The sequence below is a fragment of the Homo sapiens genome, chromosome 4 (genome assembly GCF_000001405.40).
Source record: "Homo sapiens chromosome 4, GRCh38.p14 Primary Assembly".
NCBI classification, from domain to species: domain Eukaryota; kingdom Metazoa; phylum Chordata; class Mammalia; order Primates; family Hominidae; genus Homo; species Homo sapiens.
In genome coordinates this window covers 120732259-120755329 of record NC_000004.12, presented here as the reverse complement: position 1 = coordinate 120755329, position 23071 = coordinate 120732259, and the positions used below count along the sequence as shown (strand labels likewise).

Genomic DNA, 23071 nt, shown 5'->3' with positions numbered 1-23071 from the left:
CCTTTTGGAGATTAAATTTTGTCACAGTTTTGTCATTTCACAGTAGAATTTTTTTTGAAATGTGCTGTGTATATGTGTGCTTGTCTTGAAAAACATTTTGGCTGTTTTCAAAATTATAGCCTCTAGGTGAGAGATATTTGATTATATCAGAAAGTATGGATTAATTATTATTTAGTTTAACTACCAATGGTCCTTTTGAACATATACCAATTTTATGAAATTCTTTTGAAACTCACAGCCTTAACTGAGTCAAATTCATTTATATGAAACAAAAAAATTAAACAGAACAAGGTGTCAATGAATCAGTTAAATAATTCCCCTTTAAAGAGTAGTACAGTGATAGAGCAAATTGATTAACATAAAATATTTTTAACAAATTCTTAAAATGAGGAGATTTAATTTGGTCTCAAGTATTAAAAGGAATATGCAGCAAATATGCTACTGGCAAATGTTTATTTTTGAGTATCGGAAGTGCTCTGGGCTCAGTGCCCTCTCCACAGGAGGGGAGGCCACAGTCCACTGCTGTCCTGCACGACCCATGCTTGGATCTGCCCTGCTGTGCCTGGAGCCACTTCTTGAAGTAGCACAGGGCATATGCGGTGGCCAGGATCTGAGTGTGTGAGAAGTGATAGCACAGGACTGGTTCTGCTACTTCATGTTTTTCTGACATGGAGGCTTCCTTTATTTGTAGGTGAGCGTCCCTATCAATGTCCTTACTGTGAAAAAGGATTCAGTAAAAATGATGGACTGAAGATGCACATTCGTACTCACACCAGGGTAAGATTATATTCTGTTTCATTAATATTGATCATGAAAACCATACTTATTTTAAAAGAAATATATTTAACTTTATATTACAAAATAAAGGCAATACACTGGAAGTTGTATATCTATATTTATGACAGATATTTCAGGATAATTTTTTTTAAAGATAAAACAATGAAAGAAAAGAAGAAAAAAAACACAAATTGAAACCTCAAAAAGGTTTTTATTCTTTGAATCAGGACTCAATTTTCAGGAGTTATAAATGATGAACTTCAAGATAAATAGATTTTAAAATTTTAATACTACAATATTTAAAGGTTTTTCTTGCAGAATATTCACCAGTAATAGGAACATTTTTTAATAGAGTCTGCAAGTTTGTCAGCATTTGGCCATTAAGTAATACTGATGAGCAAGTATATTTGCAAGAAAGACATTGCAGATAAATTACCAGGACAGGTGGAAAATAAGGAAGTGTAGCTCAGTGCTTCACAGGGCATGCCTAGTGCTGTGGCTTATTCTTCCCAGGGTGCCCTTTGTTCCTTTGCTGTCAACACTCTCACTGGACTATTGTCATTCTGTTATCTATGCCTTTTCCAGACTCAAGCATCTGTTTCACATGCTTTTAAAAAAATGTAAGCAGCTTACTCACCATCACCCACCATTTCATAGCTCACTATTCGATTTAAGCACAATTAGACACTTTAAATGAACTTTCCACATGGAAATTTTATATTGTTTTAAATAGCTATTGTTGATTTTGCTCTATACAACTTTTCACTGCATTATCTTTCACAGTTTCTTTTCAGTTTGGCCTTTTAAAGTGCGTATGGTCTGTATGTAAATGATGTATTTTTTTTTTCAAATTTTAAGAGACTTATCTAATCCCCTTTAGAACAATTCTAATTTAAACCTCTCCTGGATTTTACTTTTTACCTTAGCTATAAAATAAAAATTTTAGAGAAAACACATAATAATAATATTCTTCCCGGTATAATAATACTGTAGCCTTCCACTTCAGTTCTGCAGCACGTAAAAGCTATCCTCTGTGGTCCCCTTAAGAAAATACTCTTTTTGTCTTTGTGGTGAAGAGAGGGAGCTTCTCCACTTATTAAAGCAAATCTATAGCAGGTTTCTCACTCTAGTTTGTAGTATCATATTCATTCATATTATATGAATATTAGGAATTGGAGTACTTCCTAGATATAAAAGTACTTCATAAACCATAAAGGATTAGACAGATATTCCTGTTTATAATAGTATGATTTAAATGTACAATATCCAAAATATTTCACAATGAGTATTATGAAAGAGGTTTAAATTAGCTTGAGATTAGGAGGTTATTTTACATGTGAGCAGTTGTCACAGATGTATCAATAATGTATTTATTTAAAAGATGCCGACAAAAAGGCAAAGGGGCCCTGGTTCCTCTTAATAGAAACTAGTGATATTGACAGAAATTTACATATGATGTTGTTTTACTTGATTACTGAAGATAGACATGATTACAACACAGAAGAAGCTGTTTAAATCACTGCAGGAAAAAATATCTTTTGGGTTTTCTCAAGAAGGTGAGACATTTCCAATTCAATTAATTTGTTTTTTACTTCATTTTAATATAAAGTTATTAATGAGAATAATACAGATAGTTAAGATGAATAAAAATAAACACAAAAATCACTAATTACATGCCAGTACTCTTTTAGGCCTTCACATTTATTAATTCAGTTAAGCTTCACAACAACTCTATGAGGTAGCTGTTATTATGATTTATTTTTGTAAAACAAGAAACTGAGGCACAAACAAGTAAGTGGCAGAGTTGAGATTTGAACCTAGGGAGACTGGCTACAAAGACCATTTGCATTTTTTTGCCTATTATTTAATTGAATATTTTCTCATTCCACTGTCTCATATATTTTCTGGTATATTTCCACACTAAGCAAATTACAGTAATGACCCCAAATTTAAAAGTCCCATATTCTTTTGAATTTCTGAACCTCGATTTAAGGATCCCAACACTGTCTCCAAAGTATTCAGCTGCAGATGGTCCCTTGTCAGAAGTTTTCTGACATTAACTGCACAAAAAGAAAACAAATTCTAGGCTTTGACTAAGGGAACTCAAGAGAGTTTATAGACCAGAAGCACCCAGGATTTTAGGCAGGATCCCCCACAATGAGTAATGAGTAGAAGATCCAAGGAACAGGGTAAATATGTGTAAGCCTTTTGGGTTTTACCTCAAACTCTTTTTTAATTTTCCTTTTTCATGCATTTTTAAAATATTTTACCCAGACAGTTTTATTTTGAAAATCCTGTTTCCTAAGCATTGAATAAATACAGATAATCTTTGCATATTAGTTCAAATTTTCAAAAGCCTACTAAGGTTATCAGCTAGTACAATCAAACTATTATTAAAACTCAAAAGAGATTTAAAAAATGTGCTAGAGGAACAACCTCTGCAAGGTCATATTTTCCCAGTATTATTTGCATTTTGTAAGACTCCATTCAAAAAAGATACTATTACATTTGGGCCATAACACATTTCAGTTTCAATTTTGCATTCACATTACATGAGCATTTAGATAGCTCTAATTCCCAGACATTTTTGGTCCTATTTTAAAAGTTTTTAATTCCATTTTAACAACAACAGAAAAAAAATAAGCTATCTAATTCAGTAAGGTACATCTTTAGGAAGTTTTGGTAAGACAACCCAAGATGCTGTGTCAGGCCTATACCCCCAGGTTTACATTCTATGGTGACTGCACGAATGCTTTCCAAAAGGAACACAAAGCCATTTACTCTCTGGTTATTGCCTATAGGGTGCAGTAAGAGCCCCAGATGTGGGAGATAATTTTGCCAAAATCCAATTAATCATTGACCTTTCATGGAGAGACCAGGGTTTGAGGTGAAGGCTGGTGGATTTTATTTCCTTCAGTATATTCTCTTTATATTTGGTTTTCAGCTTCTACTGTGTTGTACCTAGTTGTGTTTTTCATTGTATTTTTGCAGCTTAGATCTGTAGTCTGCTATCTTTAGTTAAATTTCAGAAAATTCTTGGCCATTTTTTTTTCAACTTTGTTTTGTCCCTTTCTTTCTGTCTTCTTATGGGACACCAGTTACACATGTTAGACTATTTGATACTGTTCCAGAGCTCTTGAGTGCCGTATTCAATTTTTGTTTCATTTGCATTTTTAAAAAAATCTCGGTGTTTTTCTCTGTTTCTAATTTCTATTGATATTTTCAATTTCATTGATTTTTCTACCTCTGTTGTGCTCAGTCTGCCTATTGAAGGAGTGCATTTTTGATATTATGTTTTTCATCTCTAGCATTTTCACTTGGATTTTTAAAAATAGTTTCCATAAGGCCTGGCACAGTGGCTCATTCCTGTATTTCCAGCACTTTGGGAGGCTGAGGTGCGAGGATTGCTTGAGGCCAGGAGTTCAAGGCTGCAGTGAGCTATGACTGTGCCACTGCACTTCAGCCTAAATGACAGGGTAAGACCCTGTAAGACTCAGTTCAAAACAGATACTATTACACTTGGGCCATAACACATTTCAGTTTCAAATTTGCATTTAAAAATAAATAAATAGATAGATAAGAAAATAAATAGTTTCTGTATTTCTGTTGAAATTGCCCATTTTTTCATCTGTGTGGCCCACCTTTTTCACTAGATTCTTTGACATATTAATTGTAATTATTTTAAATTCTTTCTTTGGTATTTCCACCATCAGGGCCATCTGTGAATCTCATTGTTTTGACTATTCTATCTCTTGATAATGAGTGGGAAGGTTGCAGGAGTTTGCTTTTCAAGTGTAACATAATTTTTGATTGAATGTCTGTTTTGTGTGCGCGTGTGTGTGTGTGTGTGTGTGTGTGTGTGTGTAAAAGAAACTAAGTCTCTAAGTCTAGGAGACTAAAGTAAATACTGCTTATGCCTGGAAATAGGTATACTTCTTCTGCTAGGCCGTTAATGTGATTGAGGGCTTGAGTCAGTTTGGTCAATGGCTAAGCTAGGTTTGGGGTTTGTTGTTGCTGTAAGCTTCTCCAGGGGGTGGGCTGCTGCTGCTGTGTTCTTCATGCGAGGCCTGGACGCTCAGCAGGCTTTTCTTAAGGATCCTTCCTCACCATCAGGTTTTGGCAGATCCTGTGTACCTTTGCCACAGAACATGTTTCTCTCTCTCTGCCTTTGTCCCGCCACTGGCAGTAGCCCGCTGGTGCTTGTTACTAGGCACAAGACTTAAGTAGGCCAGAGGGCTTTCCTGGGGCCCCTGCTCTAGCATTAGTTGGGCAGGTGCTCTGCACTTGAGTCTCAGGGTTGTGGGTTTATCAGCATTTCTGCCTCTACCCTAGTGTTAGGTGGCCCCTGCTTCTGACACCACTCAGGGTCAGCGGCAGTGTCCTAACCACTAGCTACATGTGGCTATCAAAATTTAAATTTTAATTAAATCCAATTAAATGCAATTAAAAATTTACTTTTTCAGTCATATTAGCCACTTTCAGGTGCTCTATAGGCACATGTGTCTGGTGACTACTGTATTCTGTAGCACAGATACAGGACATTATGGTCACCACAGAAAGCTCTGTTGGACAGCACAGGCCTAGAGGGTGGATGGTTTCCTGGCCCTACTGGCTGTGGCAGGTGAGCTCCACCTCATATCTTTAGAGTAGAAGGTTTGGGGCATGAGAAAGAGGTTTCTGCCCCTCTTCCCGCAGCAGCAGACCTCTCCTGTGGATCACTGGGGTTCTTGGGCAAGAGCAGGTTTTCTGCCCCTCCCCTTGGTGTCAGTGCAGGATACGTAGTCAGGTTCTGTCTCTCTCCAGAGGCCACGGGTCATTGCCTGGAACAGAACACCTGCGAGTTTCATGTTCCACCCCCAGCAGCTGGTAGCTTTTGCCTCCTGTCAAAGCAGAGTGACATATGGGACGTGGCAGGTGTCTCCCTCCTCACTCAGAGGCAGAAGGCTTTTGTTTCCTGTGTGAGGCAGGTCTGTGGCCTGGGTGGTTTTTGCTGCTCCCTGGCAGCCACTGCTCATCACCTTGTATTCATGCAGCACAGGGACAGAAAGCAGATGGGTTCCTTCAAGTACTCCTACTCCACCCTCGGACCTTGTCTGTGCCACCTGGGGGCTCTCTAAGGTATCCTGCCCTGCCTCTAATCTTTCTTACGAACCCTGATGGAGCCAGTGGAAAACAGATGAGTGGCTGTGGACTTTCCATGTGCCAGGGCCCCCAGGTTTCTAACCTAAATGCTAGTCCACAATCCTTAAGGAATTAACCATCACTTGTTTTCTTCCTACCCATTTTGTGACGGGTTCTCTCTTGCTCTGACAAAGGTGAGACTATTCTGTGTTCCATTTTTTTTTTTTGACATTTAGTTCATCTGATTGTTTTGTGACCTTGGCTCACAAAATGTTTCATGACCTTAAGCTTAAAAGAATGACTGTAAATTTTTCAGCTTTTTGTCATTATTAAGTTGGGGGTGATGTTCTTTGTGGCTTTCCACATCCTATGAATAGTGATTTATTTTTAACTGTGTAGGGTTTTTGAGGATAACTTTTCCCACTTAATTCTAGATTAATTTCCTGCCCAGGAGCTGATAAAAGTGGAACTTCTTATATTCCATGTCCAGTTAGCTCCCCCATTCAGTCAGGGAAGCACCCCTATTTAGAGGCCCTATGTGAACTTAGGCCGTTTTGCTATGGTTTCTCTAAAGGGGTTCTGTTTCCTAGGATGCAGTCAGACCCTGGCGGCCTCAGGCAAGCCTCAGCAAACTCACCCTCAGGGCACTGGCATTTGGAGCCATTTCTCATCCCTTTCTAGATCTACCTTTTCCTGTCCCATTCATGGTCTTTGTTCTTTGCTTGTGTGGTGGAGGAGAGAGCTATTTGGAGGGAGCAGGTCCTCTTTTGGGGAATTTTTTTTTTTTTTGAGAGAGAGGGTCTTGCTCTGCTGCCCAGACTGGAGTGTAGTGGTGCAATCATAGTGTACTGCAACCTTGAACTCCTGGGTTCAGTGGTCCTGTAGTCTCAGCCTCCTGAGTAGCTGAGACTACAGGCATGCACCACAATGCCTGGCTGTTTTTAAATTTTTGTGGAGACAGGATCTTGCTATCTTGCCCAGCCTGATCTTGAGCTCCTAGGCTTAGGTGATCTTTTGGTCTCAGCCTCCCAAAGTGTTGGGATTGTAGGTGAGAAATACCACACCTGGCCAAGATTATCTTAGTTTTCACATTGTAGCTTTAAACCAAGATTTGGTTTAAAGATTTGAATTTTTCCAAGGCCTTGGGCCTTGGGGGTACCCCAGGTATGCTGCCAGACCTTTCCCTTCTTATCTCTGTTGTCTTTGTCTCAAAGGTCTGCTTTACCACTCCAAACTACACTGAGGTAGAGAAATGCCAGTTGCTGAACTCTTTGTGTCCAGTGCCTCAAACCCATTTTAGTCTTAGGAACTATGGATCATCTGGAAATTATAGAACTTATGTTTTTATTGCATTAGACACATTGAGCCAAAACAGTCACTCATTGAGTTAGGACACAAGCTCATAAATACCCATTTTATAAACATTAGGTTCAAAAGAAATTGTTGTTTGTAACTGTTTACGATAGAAAACTTCACGTCTCGTATAACCCCTTTTGATTTCAACATGGAAGGCACCTGGGCCAATTAGAAAGTTATTTCAGAAACTCTGCCTTTTGAACACATTTCAAAAACCCAATTAACTTATACAGGTTTCAAGTTTCTAAGATCGCAGTTCTCTCCAGCCTTGTTTGCAGAAACAGCCAAATTAGTTCTTACAAAATTAAAATGGAATTGCCAGTGGTTACAAGTAACAGCAAGTCTGTTATATTGTTTTATATTTTATTAATTTTCTTTCATGAACTTTCTTATCCCTGATCCTCAGATTGTTCAGATGTAGGTCTGGGTTTAACAGACCTGTGCCTTTTGCACTTTGCCTTGACACCATGCAGTGAGACTGTGAGTCTCTGAGTCCAAACGAGGGTGGGTATCTCAGAGTTCCTAGGTATCAGACGCTTTTGAATTTATCTAGAGGGTTTGGGTGGTCTATTGATGTAGGATTTGAAAATTATCCCCCCAAAAATTTATTTATTTATTTTTTAATTTTTTATTTTTTTATTATTATACTTAAAGTTTTAGGGTACATGTGCACATTGTGCAAGTTAGTTACATATGTATACATGTGCCATGCTGGTGTGCTGCACCCACTAACTCGTCATCTAGCATTAGGTATATCTCCCAATGCTATCCCTCCCCCCTCCCCCCACCCCACAACAGTCCCCAGAGTGTGATGTTCCCCTTCCTGTGTCCATGTGATCTCATTGTTCAATTCCCACCTATCAGTGAGAATATGTGGTGTTTGGTTTTTTGTTCTTGCGATAGTTTACTGAGAATGATGGTTTCCAATTTCATCCATGTCCCTACAAAGGACATGAACTCATCATTTTTTATGGCTGCATAGTATTCTATGGTGTATATGTGCCACATTTTCTTAATCCAATCTATCATTGTTGGACATTTGGGTTGGTTCCAAGTCTTTGCTATTGTGAATAATGCTGCAATAAACATACGTGTGCATGTGTCTTTATAGCAGCATGATTTATAGCCCTTTGGGTATATACCCAGTAATGGGATGGCAGGGTCAAATGGTATTTCTAGTTCTAGATCCCTGAGGAATCGCCACACTGACTTCCACAATGGTTGAAGTAGTTTACAGTCCCACCAACAGTGTAAAAGTGTTCCTATTTCTCCACATCCTCTCCAGCACCTGTTGTTTCCTGACTTTTTAATGATTGCCATTGTAACTGGTGTGAGATGGTATCTCATTGTGGTTTTGATTTGCATTTCTCTGATGGCCGGTGATGATGAGCATTTTTTCATGTGTTTTTTGGCTGCATAAATGTCTTCTTTTGAGAAGTGTCTGTTCATGTCCTTCGCCCACTTTTTGATGGGGTTGTTTGTTTTTTTCTTGTAAATTTGTTGGAGTTCATTGTAGATTCTGGATATTAGCCCTTTGTCAGATGAGTAGGTTGCGAAAATTTTCTCCCATTTTGTAGGTTGCCTGTTCACTCTGATGGTAGTTTCTTTTGCTGTGCAGAAGCTCTTTAGTTTAATTAGATCCCATTTGTCCATTTTGGCTTTTGTTGCCATTGCTTTTGGTGTTTTAGACATGAAGTCCTTGCCCATGCCTATGTCCTGAATGGTAATGCCTAGGTTTTCTTCTAGGGTTTTTATGGTTTTAGGTCTAACATTTAAGTCTTTAATCCATCTGGAATTAATTTTTGTATAAGGTGTAAGGAAGGGATCCAGTTTCAGCTTTCTACATATGGCTAGCCAGTTTTCCCAGCACCATTTATTAAATAGGGAATCCTTTCCCCATTTCTTGTTTTTGTCAGGTTTGTCAAAGATCAGATAGTTGTAGATATGCGACGTTATTTCTGAGGGCTCTGTTCTGTTCCATTGATCTATATCTCTGTTTTGGTACCAGTACCATGCTGTTTTGGTTACTGTAGCCTTGTAGTATAGTTTGAAGTCAGGTAGTGTGATGCCTCCAGCTTTGTTCTTTTGGCTTAGGATTGACTTGGAAATGCGGGCTCTTTTTTGGTTCCATATGAACTTTAAAGTAGTTTTTTCCAATTCTGTGAAGAAAGGCATTGGTAGCTTGATGGGGATGACATTGAATCTGTAAATTACCTTGGGCAGTATGGCCATTTTCACGATATTGATTCTTCCTACCCATGAGCATGGAATGTTCTTCCATTTGTTTGTATCCTCTTTTATTTCCTTGAGCAGCGGTTTGTAGTTCTCCTTGAAGAGGTCCTTCACATCCCTTGTAAGTTGGATTCCTAGGTATTTTATTCTCTTTGAAGCAATTGTGAATGGGAGTTCACTCATGATTTGGCTCTCTGTTTGTCTGTTGTTGGTGTATAGGAATGCTTGTGATTTTTGCACATTGATTTTGTATCCTGAGACTTTGCTGAAGTTGCTTATCAGCTTAAGGAGATTTTGGGCTGAGACGATGGGGTTTTCTAGATATACAATCATCTCATCTGCAAACAGGGACAATTTGACTTCCTCTTTTCCTAATTGAATACCCTTTATTTCCTTCTCCTGCCTAACTGCCCTGGCCAGAACTTCCAACACTATGTTGAATAGGAGTGGTGAGAGAGGGCATCCCTGTCTTGTGCCAGTTTTCAAAGGGAATGCTTCCAGTTTTTGCCCATTCAGTATGATATTGGCTGTGGGTTTGTCATAGATAGCTCTTATTATTTTGAAATATGTCCCATCAATACCTAATTTATTGAGAGTTTTTAGCATGAAGGGTTGTTGAATTTTGTCAAAGGCCTTTTCTGCATCTATTGAGATAATCATGTGGTTTTTGTCTTTGGCTCTGTTTATATGCTGGATTACATTTATTGATTTGCGTATATTGAACCAGCCTTGCATCCCAGGGATGAAGCCCACTTGATCATGGTGGATAAGCTTTTTGATGTGCTGCTGGATTCGGTTTGCCAGTATTTTATTGAGGATTTTTGCATCAGTGTTAATCAAGGATATTGGTCTAAAATTCTCTTTTTTGGTTGTGTCTCTGCCTGGCTTTGGTATCAGAATGATGCTGGCCTTATAAAATGAGTTAGGGAGGATTCCCTCTTTTTCTATTGATTGGAATAGTTTCAGAAGGAATGGTACCAGTTCCTCCTTGTACCTCTGGTAGAATTCGGCTGTGAATCCATCTGGTCCTGGACTCTTTTTGGTTGGTAAGCTATTGATTCTTGCCACAATTTCAGATCCTGTTATTGGTCTATTCAGAGATTCAACTTCTTCCTGGTTTAGTCTTGGGAGAGTGTATGTGTCAAGGAATTTATCCATTTCTTCTAGATTTTCTAGTTTATTTGCGTAGAGGTGTTTGTAGTATTCTCTGATGGTAGTTTGTATTTCTGTGGGATCCGTGGTAATATCCCCTTTATCATTTTTTCTTGCGTCTATTTGATTCTTCTCTCTTTTTTTCTTTATTAGTCTTGCTAGCGGTCTATCAATTTTGTTGATCCTTTCAAAAAACCAGCTCCTGGATTCATTAATTTTTTGAAGGGTTTTTTGTGTCTCTATTTCCTTCAGTTCTGCTCTGATTTTAGTTATTTGTTGCCTCCTGCTAGCTTTTGAGTGTGTTTGCTCTTGCTTTTCTAGTTCTTTTAATTGTGATGTTAGGGTGTCAATTTTGGATCTTTCCTCCTTTCTCTTGTGGGCATTTAGTGCTATAAATTTCTCTCTACACACTGCTTTGAATGTGTCCCAGAGATTCTGGTAAGTTGTGTCTTTGTTCTCATTGGTTTCAAAGAACATCTTTATTTCTGCCTTCATTTCGTTATGTACCCAGTAGTCATTCAGGAGCACGTTGTTCAGTTTCCATGTAGTTGAGCGGTTTTGAGTGAGATTCTTAATCCTGCGTTCTAGTTTGATTGCACTGTGGTCTGAGAGATAGTTTGTTATAATTTCTCTTCTTTTACATTTGCTGAGGAGAGCTTTACTTCCAAGTATGTGGTCAATTTTGGAATAGGTGTGGTGTGGTGCTGAAAAAAATGTATATTCTGTTGATTTGGGGTGAAGAGTTCTGTAGATGTCTGTTAGGTCCGCTTGGTGCAGAGCTGAGTTCAATTCCTGGGTATCCTTGTTAACTTTCTGTCTCGTTGATCTGTCTAATGTTGACAGTGGGGTGTTAAAGTCTCCCATTATTAATGTGTGGGAGTCTAAGTCTCTTTGTAGGTCACTCAGGACTTGCTTTATGAATCTGGGTGCTCCTGTATTGGGTGCATATATATTTAGGATAGTTAGCTCTTCTTGTTGAATTGATCCCTTTACCATTATGTCATGGCCTTCTTTGTCTGTTTTGATCTTTGTTGGTTTAAAGTCTGTTTTATCAGAGACTAGGATTGCAACCCCTGCCTTTTTTTGTTTTCCATTTGCTTGGTAGATCTTCCTCCATCCTTTTATTTTGAGCCTATGTGTGTCTCTGCACGTGAGATGGGTTTCCTGAATACAGCACACTGATGGGTCTTGACTCTTTATCCAATTTGCCAGTCTGTGTCTTTTAATTGGAGCATTTAGTCCATTTACATTTAAAGTTAATAGTGTTATGTGTGAATTTGATCCTGTCATTATGATGTTAGCTGGTTATTTTGCTCGTTAGTTGATGCAGTTTCTTCCTAGTCTCAATGGTCTTTACATTTTGGCATGATTTTGCAGCGGCTGGTACCGGTTGTTCCTTTCCTTGTTTAGTGCTTCCTTCAGGAGCTCTTTTAGGGCAGGCCTAGTGGTGACAAAATCTCTCAGCATTTCCTTGTCTGTAAAGTATTTTATTTCTCCTTCACTTATGAAGCTTAGTTTGGCTGGATATGAAATTCTGGGTTGAAAATTCTTTTCTTTAAGAATGTTGAATATCGGCCCCCACTCTCTTCTGGCTTGTAGGGTTTCTGCCGAGAGATCCGCTATTAGTCTGATGGGCTTCCCTTTGAAGGTAACCCGACCTTTCTCTCTGGCTGCCCTTAACATTTTTGCCTTCATTTCAACTTTGGTGAATCTGACAATTATGTGTCTTGGAGTTGCTCTTCTCGAGGAGTATCTTTGTGGCATTCTCTGTATTTCCTGAACCTGAACGTTGGCCTGCCTTGCTAGATTGGGGAAATTCTCCTGGATAATATCCTGCAGAGTGTTTTCCAACTTGGTTCCATTCTCCCCATCACTTTCAGGTACACCAATCAGACGTAGATTTGGTCTTTTCACATAGTCCCATATTTCTTGGAGGCTTTGCTCGTTTCTTTTTATTCTTTTTTCTCTAAACTTTCCTTCTCGCTTCATTTCATTCATTTCACCTTCCATTGCTGATACCCTTTCTTCCAGTTGATCGCTTCGGCTCCTGAGGCTTTTGCATTCTTCACGTAGTTCTCAAGCCTTGGTTTTCAGCTCCATCAGCTCCTTTAAGCACTTCTCTGTATTGGTTATTCTAGTTATACATTCTTCTAAATTTTTTTCAAAGTTTTCAACTTCTTTGCCTTTGGTTTGAATGTCCTCCTGTAGCTCAGAGTAATTTGATCATCTGAAGCCTTCTTCTCTCAACTCGTCAAAGTCATTCTCCGTCCAGCTTTGTTCCATTGCTGGTGAGGAGCTGCATTCCTTTGGAGGAGGAGAGGCGCTCTGCTTTTTAGAGTTTCCAGTTTTTCTGTTCTGTTTTTTCCCCATCTTTGTGGTTTTATCTACCTTTGGTCTTTGATGATGGTGATGTACAGATGGGTTTTTGGTGTGGATGTCCTTTCTGTTTGTTAGTTTTCCTTCTAACAGACAAGACCCTCAGCTTCAGGTCTGTTGGAGTACCCTGCAGTGTGAGGTGTTAGTGTGCCCCTGCTGGAGGGTGCCTCCCAGTTAGGCTGCTCGGGGGGTCAGGGGTCAGGGACCCACTTGAGGAGGCAGTCTGCCTGTTCTCAGATCTCCAGCTGCGTACTGGGAGAACCACTGCTCTCTTCAAAGCTGTCAGACAGGGACATTTAAGTCTGCAGAGGTTACTGCTATCTTTTTGTTTGTCTGTGCCCTGCCCCTAGAGGTGGAGCCTACAGAGGCAGGCAGGCCTCCTTGAGCTGTGGTGGGCTCCACCCAGTTTGAGCTGGCTGGCTGCTTTGTTTACCTAAGCAAGCCTGGGCAATGGTGGGCACCCCTCCCCCAGCCTCGCTGCTGCCTTGCAGTTTGATCTCAGACTGCTGTGCTAGCAATCAGCGAGACTCCGTGGGGTAGGACCCTCTGAGCCAGGTGCATGATATAATCTCGTGGTGTGCCGTTTTTTTAAGCCTGTCGGAAAAGCGCAGTATTCGGGTGGGAGTGACCCTATTTTCCAGGTGCTGTCCGTCACCCCTTTCTTTGATTAGGAAAGGGAACTCCCTGACCCTTTGTGCTTCCCGAGTGAGGCAATGCCTGGCCCTGCTTCGGCTCGTGCACAGTGCGCGCACCCACTGACCTGCGCTCACTGTCTGGCACTCCCTAGTGAGATGAACCCGGTACCTCAGATGGAAATGCAGTAATCACCCGTCTTCTGCGTGGTTCAGGCTGGGAGCTGTAGACCAGAGCTGTTCCTATTCGGCCATCTTGGCTCCTCCCCCCTGATAACCAAAAATTTTGACCAATACATCAAGCTGATGAACCATGTGAGTGAGTGTAAGCATGATGTTGAAGGAAAAAGAAAAAGGTTCATTCTATTTGAATTAAGATGTTAAGGCAGGAGGAGTGAGGGCTGCTGTATGCTAAAGGGAGCAAAAGGCAAGAATAATTTTCCTAGCTCCAGAAGCATCGTATAGAGGATATGCAGCGTTGGTTGAGAACAGAAAGGAGTCTTTTAAGGGTGAGAATCATCTTGAAATCCTCATGGACACATTAGGAGGCATGCATAAAAAGCTTAGGAAACAGATGCAAAAGCAAGTTGGTTGAATCGGATTGGGAGGGCTGGTGGATTCCAGGACTAGAGATAGAGGATGATATTTGAGTTGTGTTTGAAGGAGTATGGTAGAGGGCAGGCCAGAAAAAAATGTGACTGCATAAGCAAAGTGCACACCTACAGATACAGTAAGGGTGGCCTGTCCACTGTAACTGAGTTTGAGGATACATGTTGAAGGATGACTTATGTTGAGACAGGCTGAGATTGAGCAGTTGGTATGAATTGTGAAAACATTTTATTGTGTGTGTTTGGTTTGGTTTTGAGTAGAGGAGTGACATTATCAGTTCTATCTCTTAGAAAGGTTGCTCTGAATCATTCTCCAGCAAGAATTGAAGGAAGTAGCACTTGAGTCAGGGAGGCCCATTCAGGAGACACGATGGAGCCAGGTGAGCAGGAATAGGGACCCACATGAGATGGCCATGGGATCTGAGAGTCAGGCACATATATGAGGGACACCTTTGAGATAAGTATTGACAAAGTTTGGACAAGGTTTAGACATACTCAGTATAGGTGGTGAAGAATAGGGAGGAGTCACAGATGAATCTAGGACGCCTACCAGGGGCATTTTGGGATATTGTGATTTTCCACATAGAGACAGGAAGAGCAGCTTGTGGGTTTAGAGAGGAAGGAGGGGAGGAGCGGATACTGGATTCACAATTATCTGGGTTAAGTGCCTGAGGAGTGCTAATAGCTATTTCTGTTTTTATGTCTGGATAAGAAGAAGAGATGTACAAATTTAATAACTTTTAAGAATAGTTTATTATGAATATGGAGAAAATTTAACATTTTTAGAATTTCTAAACTTCATCAGCTTTTGTCCTATAGGAACAAGAGAATATGCCTCATTGTCACTGTTTGAAAATATCGTTAATTCGATTTTGGAATTAGTGAATCTTTTATTGTTTCTAGAACCCATATATTTCTTGGGGAATTTTATATGCCTTGCCAAGGAATCATTTAAGATAAATGACTTCAAAATACCGTTGTATTTTATTTGGCTCCAAATATATACCTGCATGAAATTGAGCATTCTTATTCTATCACAATAAGGCATTTTCTTTTGTAAAAGGGAAAATCAGACCACTTGAAAAATCACTTTCCTTTCAGAGACCGACAGCATCATTACCCCCTTTCTTTTTCTTCATTTCTCCTTTGTGAAAATTCTTTCTGATGGTCATCAACCCACTTGGCAGAGTGCCCTCTATTCTTAATCTCTGTGTAACTTCTGCCCATGAGCCAGTCAGCTATCTTAAATATCACCAGAAAAGAAAGTTTTAAATTTCCCAGTTAGGAATACTTTTTTGGCATACCAAATGATGCTCCTGAAATAAGGACTTTGGGTCCAGGCATGCTAGATCATGGTTCTCTGGATTTTGATAGGCTTTGAGAGTAAAAGGTGAAATTTTAAAGTAAGCTTGATTTCATTCTCTTGACAAATTTTTTGGGTTGGTTAATTATCCCATAGGAAAATAGACAAAAGTCTTTGTGGAACAAAATTCTGTTTTACTATAGTTAAGGTTACAAGAGTAGAGTTACATTGATGTGAGGGATTGAACTGACTAGAGGCATTGGCTGTGATTTTTCTACAGTTTTTTAAATGGTATCTGCATTCTCATTCTATATGTCTTTGCCTAACTTGAACTTTTTGTGGGGAGGGGAAGCTGGTACTACCCATCTAGAACATAATGTGCATTAGTTGGAATAATGGTGTAGTAAGGTAGTCTCCAAGGTGGTGCTGGTAATCTCTTTCCTCCCTGTATGCACCTGCTGCTCTTTACATTAAGAAGTACAGTCCAGTTTCCTTTCCTTGAATCTAAGCTGGGCACAATGACTTGCTTGGATAATAGAATACAGCAGAAGTGATGTTCTAGGATATCCGAGGCTGGAACAGAATAAGCTTTGAACTTTTGTCTGTATCTCTTGGGACCAATCACCATGTTGTGAGGACCTCAAGTAATGTGGAGAGGCCAGATAGGCATGCCACATAATAGCTAACGTGTACTGCCAGCCATCTGAGTAAGCCATTTTGGCTTTCTAGCTTAGTTGAGCCTTCAGATAACTTCAGCTGCAGCCAACTGACTGCAACTGCAAGAAAGACTCCAAGTGAAAACTGTTGCAGAACCCAGTCAATCCACAAAACCATGAAAAATAATGTTATTTTATATCATTAAACAAAATAATTAAAATAAACAAATATTAAACCATAAACAATAATAATGTATTAAGTTTTGGATGGTTTATTATGTAGTAATAGATAACTAGAACAAGTACTAAATATTACATAATGCTGAATAAGTACAATTTTAATTGTGTAATATTCTTCTATATTTTAAATGATAAACATTTATGGACAGAGCTCTAAAGTGAGCACTTACTAAATGTTCCCAAAGAGAAGTTAGCTGTTGTATCTCAATATCACCATTTACCAATGGGAGTTGTATTTTGTTTTTGGAAAATACACATCTTACAATTCAGTTTAAAAAAATATACTATCAGTTGTTTAGAAAGGCTTATAGTATTCTAAAAAAGATTTGGGAGACCCAGGAAAGTGTGAACTTAAAGGCTCTCATTATACTTACATACTATTTAATCTGTAGTTTCAAAATCTGATGGCAAATTTGCTTACATAACACTGAAATTTATATAAATAAGTTAAATTAAGAGCTTTCCTTTTAAGTAATTGGCCTTATAATTGGTGTCATATTAGGATGGCTAAAGTGAATAGGTTCATCACCATTATACGATTTTCTCCTTAGTACTTTATAGAACATTGAATGACAACGGTAGAGTCTGAAACTGAGTTATCTAGCAGTACTACTGTAATCAGAATGATACTTATTTGGGGGCATCAGGAAGGTAATTCTTGCTGTTGAGGCTGATGGTCTGGCAAACTCAAGCGTGGGTGATCTCTGCTTAAGATTAGGAGGTTGGTTGGGACGTTCCCTATTTGGGACTTTCTTTGTTAATGCTCTCTGACTAAAGCTGTTTTAAATACACAAACCTCTGTTTTTGAATTTAGAAAACTTATTTTTATAATTTGTTTATATGTTTCTCCTTTTTAGGTTGTGACTTTCATGTAGACAGGAATTGTAGCTCACATCTCTTTTTCCTTAGCAGCTGTGTGCCTGGCATCTAGTGAGTTATTAGGTTTGTTGAAGGAATGAAGTGAAATTATGTCAGAAGCGAATTATTAAATTTACCAAATTAACTGAGCAAATATATAGCTAGATAAGATATATGAATCCATTCATTTATTTATTCAACAAACATTGATTAAATGACTACACTGTGCTAAGAGCTGGGACTATAGCAGTACACAAATCAGACATTGTCTCTACCTTCAGTGGAGCTGGGAGTCACTCATAAGTTTAATTCTTTTCTAATCAGCAATTCCTTCTCACTAAAGACTTGACAAGAAGGTATGAGAAGGCAAGAGTGCGTGCATTCATCAGATGTTTGTGATGTGCCCAACTGTGTGCCAGCAGCTGTAGTGTCACAGGCCCTGCTTGTGTCTGTCAGGAAAGACGGACACTAAGGACATTATTTTAAGTAACACATAATCCCAAGTATGCCAAGTGATGGCGTGGGAAAGTACTGGGTCCCAAGTATATAACTGGTACCAGGCCTACTCCGAGGTCCTGGAGTCTTTGGCATGGCTCTCTCTTAGCTCTCAGTTGCCCTTCCTTGTTGCTGTGGTTGTCTTCTTCAGTTGCATGTGCTTCTCTGCATTTCCACATTTTACCATATGGGAGGCAGTTCTATCTGTCTAGGCAGGAATAAGCAACTGTACACCTATTACTCTGAACTTGATGCTCTGCATTGATGTACACTGGGCCCGGCCTTCCCTGGTTGCCTGTCTGGACCATTCTTGTCATCTGGCTCTGAAGAGTTTGTTTTTAGAGGTATACTTGCCACAGAAGGAAGCCAGAGATCTGTGATCCTCTGATGAAGCCACTCTCACCCTAGTTATCTGCCTGACACGCCTGACAGATGAAGCTCAGGTGGGCAGACACCTCAGGCCACAGCATGGACTATGTACAATTCTTCAAGCTCAAGCCTTAACTCTCCTACTTATTGCTGTTGTAGGACAGCATACTGGGATGGAAATGAATGAAAATGGTGTTATTAGGGGTTAAGATTAAAACCCACCTCATTTGTGAAAAGGAAGTAGACTTTTGCAAATTATAGTATTTTATTTTTAATAAGAGATCACTTTACAACTAGTCACTATCTGTGTGCCATTAATATGTCACTGTGCCAGAGATTGTGCTCATTGATCTAAAGACTGTGTTTCTTGGATACCTGGATAGGAAAATTCACTAATTCTGCAAATGTTTAGTAAGCCAACTATATGCCAGCACTCTGCTAGGTGTTAGGGATACATGATCGAATATATAGTACAAGATGCCTGAGAGTGTCCGATAACTTCATATGGGTGGGTCGTGGAGTAAAATAGAAGGTGTACTAAAAAAGAGGCGTCTGGGATGCACAGAGGGCAGATGATAAAAGGTCGTCTCTGAATGCTGGATAAACATGTTTGGGCTTTACGCTCAGGGCTCTTGAGGAGCTTTTGAAGGTCAGTGATCTCAGAGTGTTGGCATTTTCAGCCCTGCTAATTACTTTGTCTCTCGCTGGTTACTGGCCACTACCAGCATCATCAATCATCGATTAGTTCTGTTTGATCCAGCAAGCCCACTAGTGGGTGCCTGTCCAAATGAAAAGAAATCATTATATCAAAAAGATACCTGCTCTCGTGTTTGTTGCAGCACTATTCACAATAGCAAAGATGTGGAATCAACCTGAGTATCCATCAACAGATGATTGGATAAAGAAAATGTGATACACACACACACACACACACACACACACACACACACACACAAAAGGATAGTATTCAAGCATAGAAAGAATGAAATCATGATTTCTGCAACAAAATGGATGGAATTGGAGGCCATTATCTTAAGTGGAACAAGCCAGACACAGAAGGCCAGACATCACATGTTCTCACTTATAAATGGGTGCTAAAAAAATGGACATACAGAATGGAATGATAGACAGTGGAGACTCAGAGGGTGAGGAGTGAGAGGAGTAAGGATGAGGAGAAATTACTTCATGGGTATAATGTATATTATTTGGGGGATGGACAACCTAAAAGCCCTGACTTAATTACTACACAATCTAGGCTTGTAACAAAATTGCACTCGTACCCCATACATTTATATATTTAAAAAGTATTAGACATCTCTTTTCTTGAGCCTGAGCCTGGGTTCTCCTCAGCCTGCTGACAATTTTTTGTTATCCTGTCCAGGTGATTTTGGGCAGAGATAAGGGAGTGTCTCAAGACGATGCCCCCAGTCATCGTCTTGAGAATCAGTAGAGCCCTTTCCAGTGGGCTTTTCCTAGTCTCCATTTGGTCTCCCTCTTTCTCCCACTGCTTTAGAGCAAGGAATAAAACATCTGTGGTTAAAATCAAAAGACTGTATCTCCCATCCAGCCTCCAGACCTGGCAGGAGAAATCTCAGCATTTTAAGTGAACAGCTTTTTTTTTTATGCCCCAGTAGGGTACAGTAGCACAAAGGCCAGTGTCCTGTAAGTGCCTCCTTTTCTGTCTATCACATAACTCTCAGGGACTGTTACCACAGCTGGAATCAGTGTTTTAACTGAGGTATTGGAGACACTTATGAGCTCATTATCATTTGAACATATGAATAATGTAAAATTTAGACAGAGTTTCATTTGAAAGGATTATTTAAGGAACTTTTAGTTTACAGATTGATTTATATTGCTGTTATTCTGAACAGTAGGAATAAAATCAGTTCCCTGTAGTGTAAGTTGGATGACACCATGGTGACACAGGGCCTTTCTTGATTATCTCACATAATGTCAAAAATTAAAAGCAAAAGAATTGATCTTAGGGAATTCCATGACAGTTTCTATTTAACTTCACTTAACAATGACTTCAAACAGTTGTTACATGTATAGAGAACTCCTGATTAAAGGGACTTTCTTTGACCAATGTGTTATGTTTCTAATTGTAACTCTTTAAGAACATGCATTTGGTCTCAGATGGCCAACTAACTGTTACAGAGTCAGCTTCTGTGCTATGTGCCGTGTACTGAAGGAACAGTTAAGAAAAGGCTGCAGCCCTTGCAGAGTCTGGGGGAGAAGACAACGAGATAAAGCATGGCAAAGACCACGCTGAAAGTATCCCAGGGTGCTGTATGTGCACATAGGAAGATCACTTACCTCAGCATAGGAGGAGGGCTAGGCAAGGAAAGGTGTCGGAAGAAACAGAGGAGCGTTTAGTCTGCAGAAGTAGAAAATACACTGGAGACATCTATGTGGAATGGAAAAAAAAGTGGCTAAGCCCCAGAATATTGTCCAAAAGGAAACCAGGAAGGAGCAGCCAAAGAGGCTGAAGGAGAACCAGGAGAAAACAGGGAGGTGGCACTGAAGCCAAGGGAAGGGAAGCGTTTCAGCATTTCTGGGAAAAATCACATGCTCTGTCTGAATCTTGCAGTTTTATGATACATATAACCATATTCCAGATTCTGAGAAATCCAGCAATAAAGGCATTTCTTATAGTTTGTTTAGGCTAGTGTTTGCCAGGCTAGTTTGAACGTAGTGAGTAAGGGTGTGTGTGTGTGTGTGTGTGTGTGTATTTGTGTGTGTGTGTGTGTGTGTGTGTGTTCCACTAACATCTCACTGGAGCTAGTCTTTTACAAAACACAATTCAAGAATCTCTGGTCTAATGCATCCCATGTATGGCTGCATCAATACTTATAAAGATTGCTTTGATCAACTGTCTCAGTTGCTAAAAAAAAAACAAACAAACAAAGCCCTCCCCCATCCCCTACAGCGGCTCCTCTCTGCCTGCAGAATGGAGCCCAGGTGGCTTAGCCTGGGTGCCCTGTGCCAGGCTGGCTGTGCTGCCTGCCGTCTGCCCCGCCCGTGCCCCCTTCCTCCTGGACACTCTGGGCCTCAGCCAGTTTGGACCATGTGTCCTTCTCCTAAGGATGACCATGCTTGCCTAGGTCCACTTCAATACTTTTTGAGGCTACAAATAAAGCAGTCCCTCTCCTGGTCAGGTCTCACTTTTTATACATTCTTCCCTGCCACCTCTGCCATCGGCATACTTTACTGGTACATTAATTATATTAGCCCAGTTTTTTTGTTTTTTTTTTTTTTTACTTTTGTGTCATTGTTTTTCTTCTGTTTCTTTTTTTCTTAGAGCTTAGTTCACGTATTCATTCAGTCTTTCCACAATATAACTGCATGTTGTATGATTTTATCCTCATCCTCATTGGTATTTATATATCTTTTTTGTAAAAATGGAGACTTTCTAAATAGATCTTTATTAACATTATTAACATCGAAAGGACAGTGTGTTTAAAACCTGGTCTCAGCCACCTGGAGTTCTCTGCATACCCAGAAGGGGAGTGGGAAGCTGGCATTGTTGCATTAGATATTCTTACAGTGAAAGAGAACCATGTGTGATGGCAACATTGGAACATGGAAAACAAAGCATCTGGCTCTGCCCCAGGGAGACCAGGTAGGGTCCACTGAGGAAGTCTGAATTGGATCAGAAAGTATGAGTCTGAGTTTTCTAGGAAAAGGAACAAGATTGGGGGTAGGGCATTGCAAACCAACTGAGTGTCGTGTGCAAGGATGTGAAGCTGTGATTTGTGGGTGGGTGAGAAGCCCACTGTAGGAGAGAGCCCAAGGTGTGCGTTGTTGAGAACTGGAGCATGAGGTGGGGGTCAGGCAGGCATGGCAAGACTGTGAGGAGTCCCAGGTGCTGGGACAGGAAGATAGGATTGATTGTGTTGATAACAGTAAGTCAGAACAGGCTTTCATTTGTTTCCCAGTGAGAGAATGGAGTAATAAAATGAACAATAAGACTAGGTGTTCCCTCTTTACTGAAACACAAACCTATGAAATAAAGAAAATATTCAGTCCAAGCAGCTCTGTCTATCCCTTGAACTTACCTATTTTTCTTTCATATCTTTTTTCTTTTATATCACACAAATGGTCTTGTAGGTTGAGACTAGTAAAACTATAACAATTGCTAAGGCTGTAGGTATTTGCTATTACTAGCTAGAACAAAATACAATGCACAACATTTCTAAAATGTCTTCATTATTTGTGACCTATTTTGAGTGCAGTCTAGAGTCACAGAATATCCCAGCTGCAAAGCATATAAGAGGTCAGTTGATCCAACCCCTTTATTTAAAAATGAGGGAATTTAAGTCAAAATATCGTAAAGACTGGGTATAGCTAGTTATAGCAGGAATATTTCTCTCTCTGCAAGCACTTCGATGACATTATCTTTCCTCAAATTCATTTGGTCATGAAATTAAAGGGAAACTGAATAACAGGTTAGGTTAGAGAGCAGGAGTATTATACCATTTTTTAGTTTTTATAGTTTTTTATTTTTAGTAATATGTTATATAAAATTATTACCTGTTTAAAAAATTTTATTGTGAAGTAACCTGTTGTATTGTCCTGAGGTAACAACCTCAGAGATCAGTTATTTTCAAGCAATACATCTGATTTCAAGAGATAAGTTACAATGAATATAAAATTTACTTGTTAGGAATTTATATTGTTATTACTATTGGAATTTGTCTATCTTTTCTGTAAAATTGGAGATCTTGTAAGTGGATCTTTATTAATGTGAAAAGGACAAAGTTTCTGAAAGTGCATAAAACAAATAATATTATCTGATTACTTAATATTAGATGTTAAGAAGTATATTTTAGAATGAGTAACTTTTTATTGATCATTATATACTATGTACTGAGTTAAGTACTTATATTCTAA

The 23071-nt window shown here is 39.4% G+C and overlaps 1 protein-coding gene across 22 annotated transcripts in view, besides 4 other annotated features; it reads left to right on the top strand.

Annotated features, from left to right (window-relative positions):
- PRDM5 (PR/SET domain 5) overlaps positions 1 to 23071 on the top strand; it is a 238436-nt gene that overhangs the window by 167397 nt on the left and 47968 nt on the right. For 15 of the 22 annotated variants that reach the window (XM_047449558.1, XM_047449557.1, XM_011531566.4 and 12 more), the window contains one exon: positions 692 to 777. The exons of 4 other annotated variants lie outside the window; for them this stretch is intronic. In XM_047449558.1, the coding sequence (XP_047305514.1) occupies positions 692 to 777 (86 nt within the window). Of the gene's footprint in view, positions 1 to 691; positions 778 to 23071 lie in introns of those variants that run through there. 3 more of the 22 variants (XR_938678.2, XR_938680.3, XR_938679.2) reach the window with 1 other exon arrangement.
- Positions 5891 to 5940: an enhancer, noted in NCBI's record as "active region_21862". NCBI's record gives its function as "activates an Ori minimal core promoter by ATAC-STARR-seq in GM12878 lymphoblastoid cells {active_cell/tissue: GM12878}" and the evidence as "EXISTENCE:reporter gene assay evidence [ECO:0000049][PMID:35858748]".
- Positions 13178 to 13744: an enhancer, noted in NCBI's record as "H3K27ac-H3K4me1 hESC enhancer chr4:121662741-121663307 (GRCh37/hg19 assembly coordinates)". NCBI's record gives its function as "activates a minimal SCP1, AML or CMV promoter by ChIP-STARR-seq in primed H9 embryonic stem cells {active_cell/tissue: H9 hESC(primed)}" and the evidence as "EXISTENCE:reporter gene assay evidence [ECO:0000049][PMID:30033119]".
- Positions 13745 to 14311: an enhancer, noted in NCBI's record as "H3K27ac-H3K4me1 hESC enhancer chr4:121662174-121662740 (GRCh37/hg19 assembly coordinates)". NCBI's record gives its function as "activates a minimal SCP1, AML or CMV promoter by ChIP-STARR-seq in primed H9 embryonic stem cells {active_cell/tissue: H9 hESC(primed)}" and the evidence as "EXISTENCE:reporter gene assay evidence [ECO:0000049][PMID:30033119]".
- Positions 21056 to 21262: a silencer, noted in NCBI's record as "fragment chr4:121655223-121655429 (GRCh37/hg19 assembly coordinates)". NCBI's record gives its function as "represses an EF-1alpha promoter that drives an FKBP-Casp9 reporter gene in an ReSE screen in K562 erythroleukemia cells {active_cell/tissue: K562}" and the evidence as "EXISTENCE:reporter gene assay evidence [ECO:0000049][PMID:32094911]".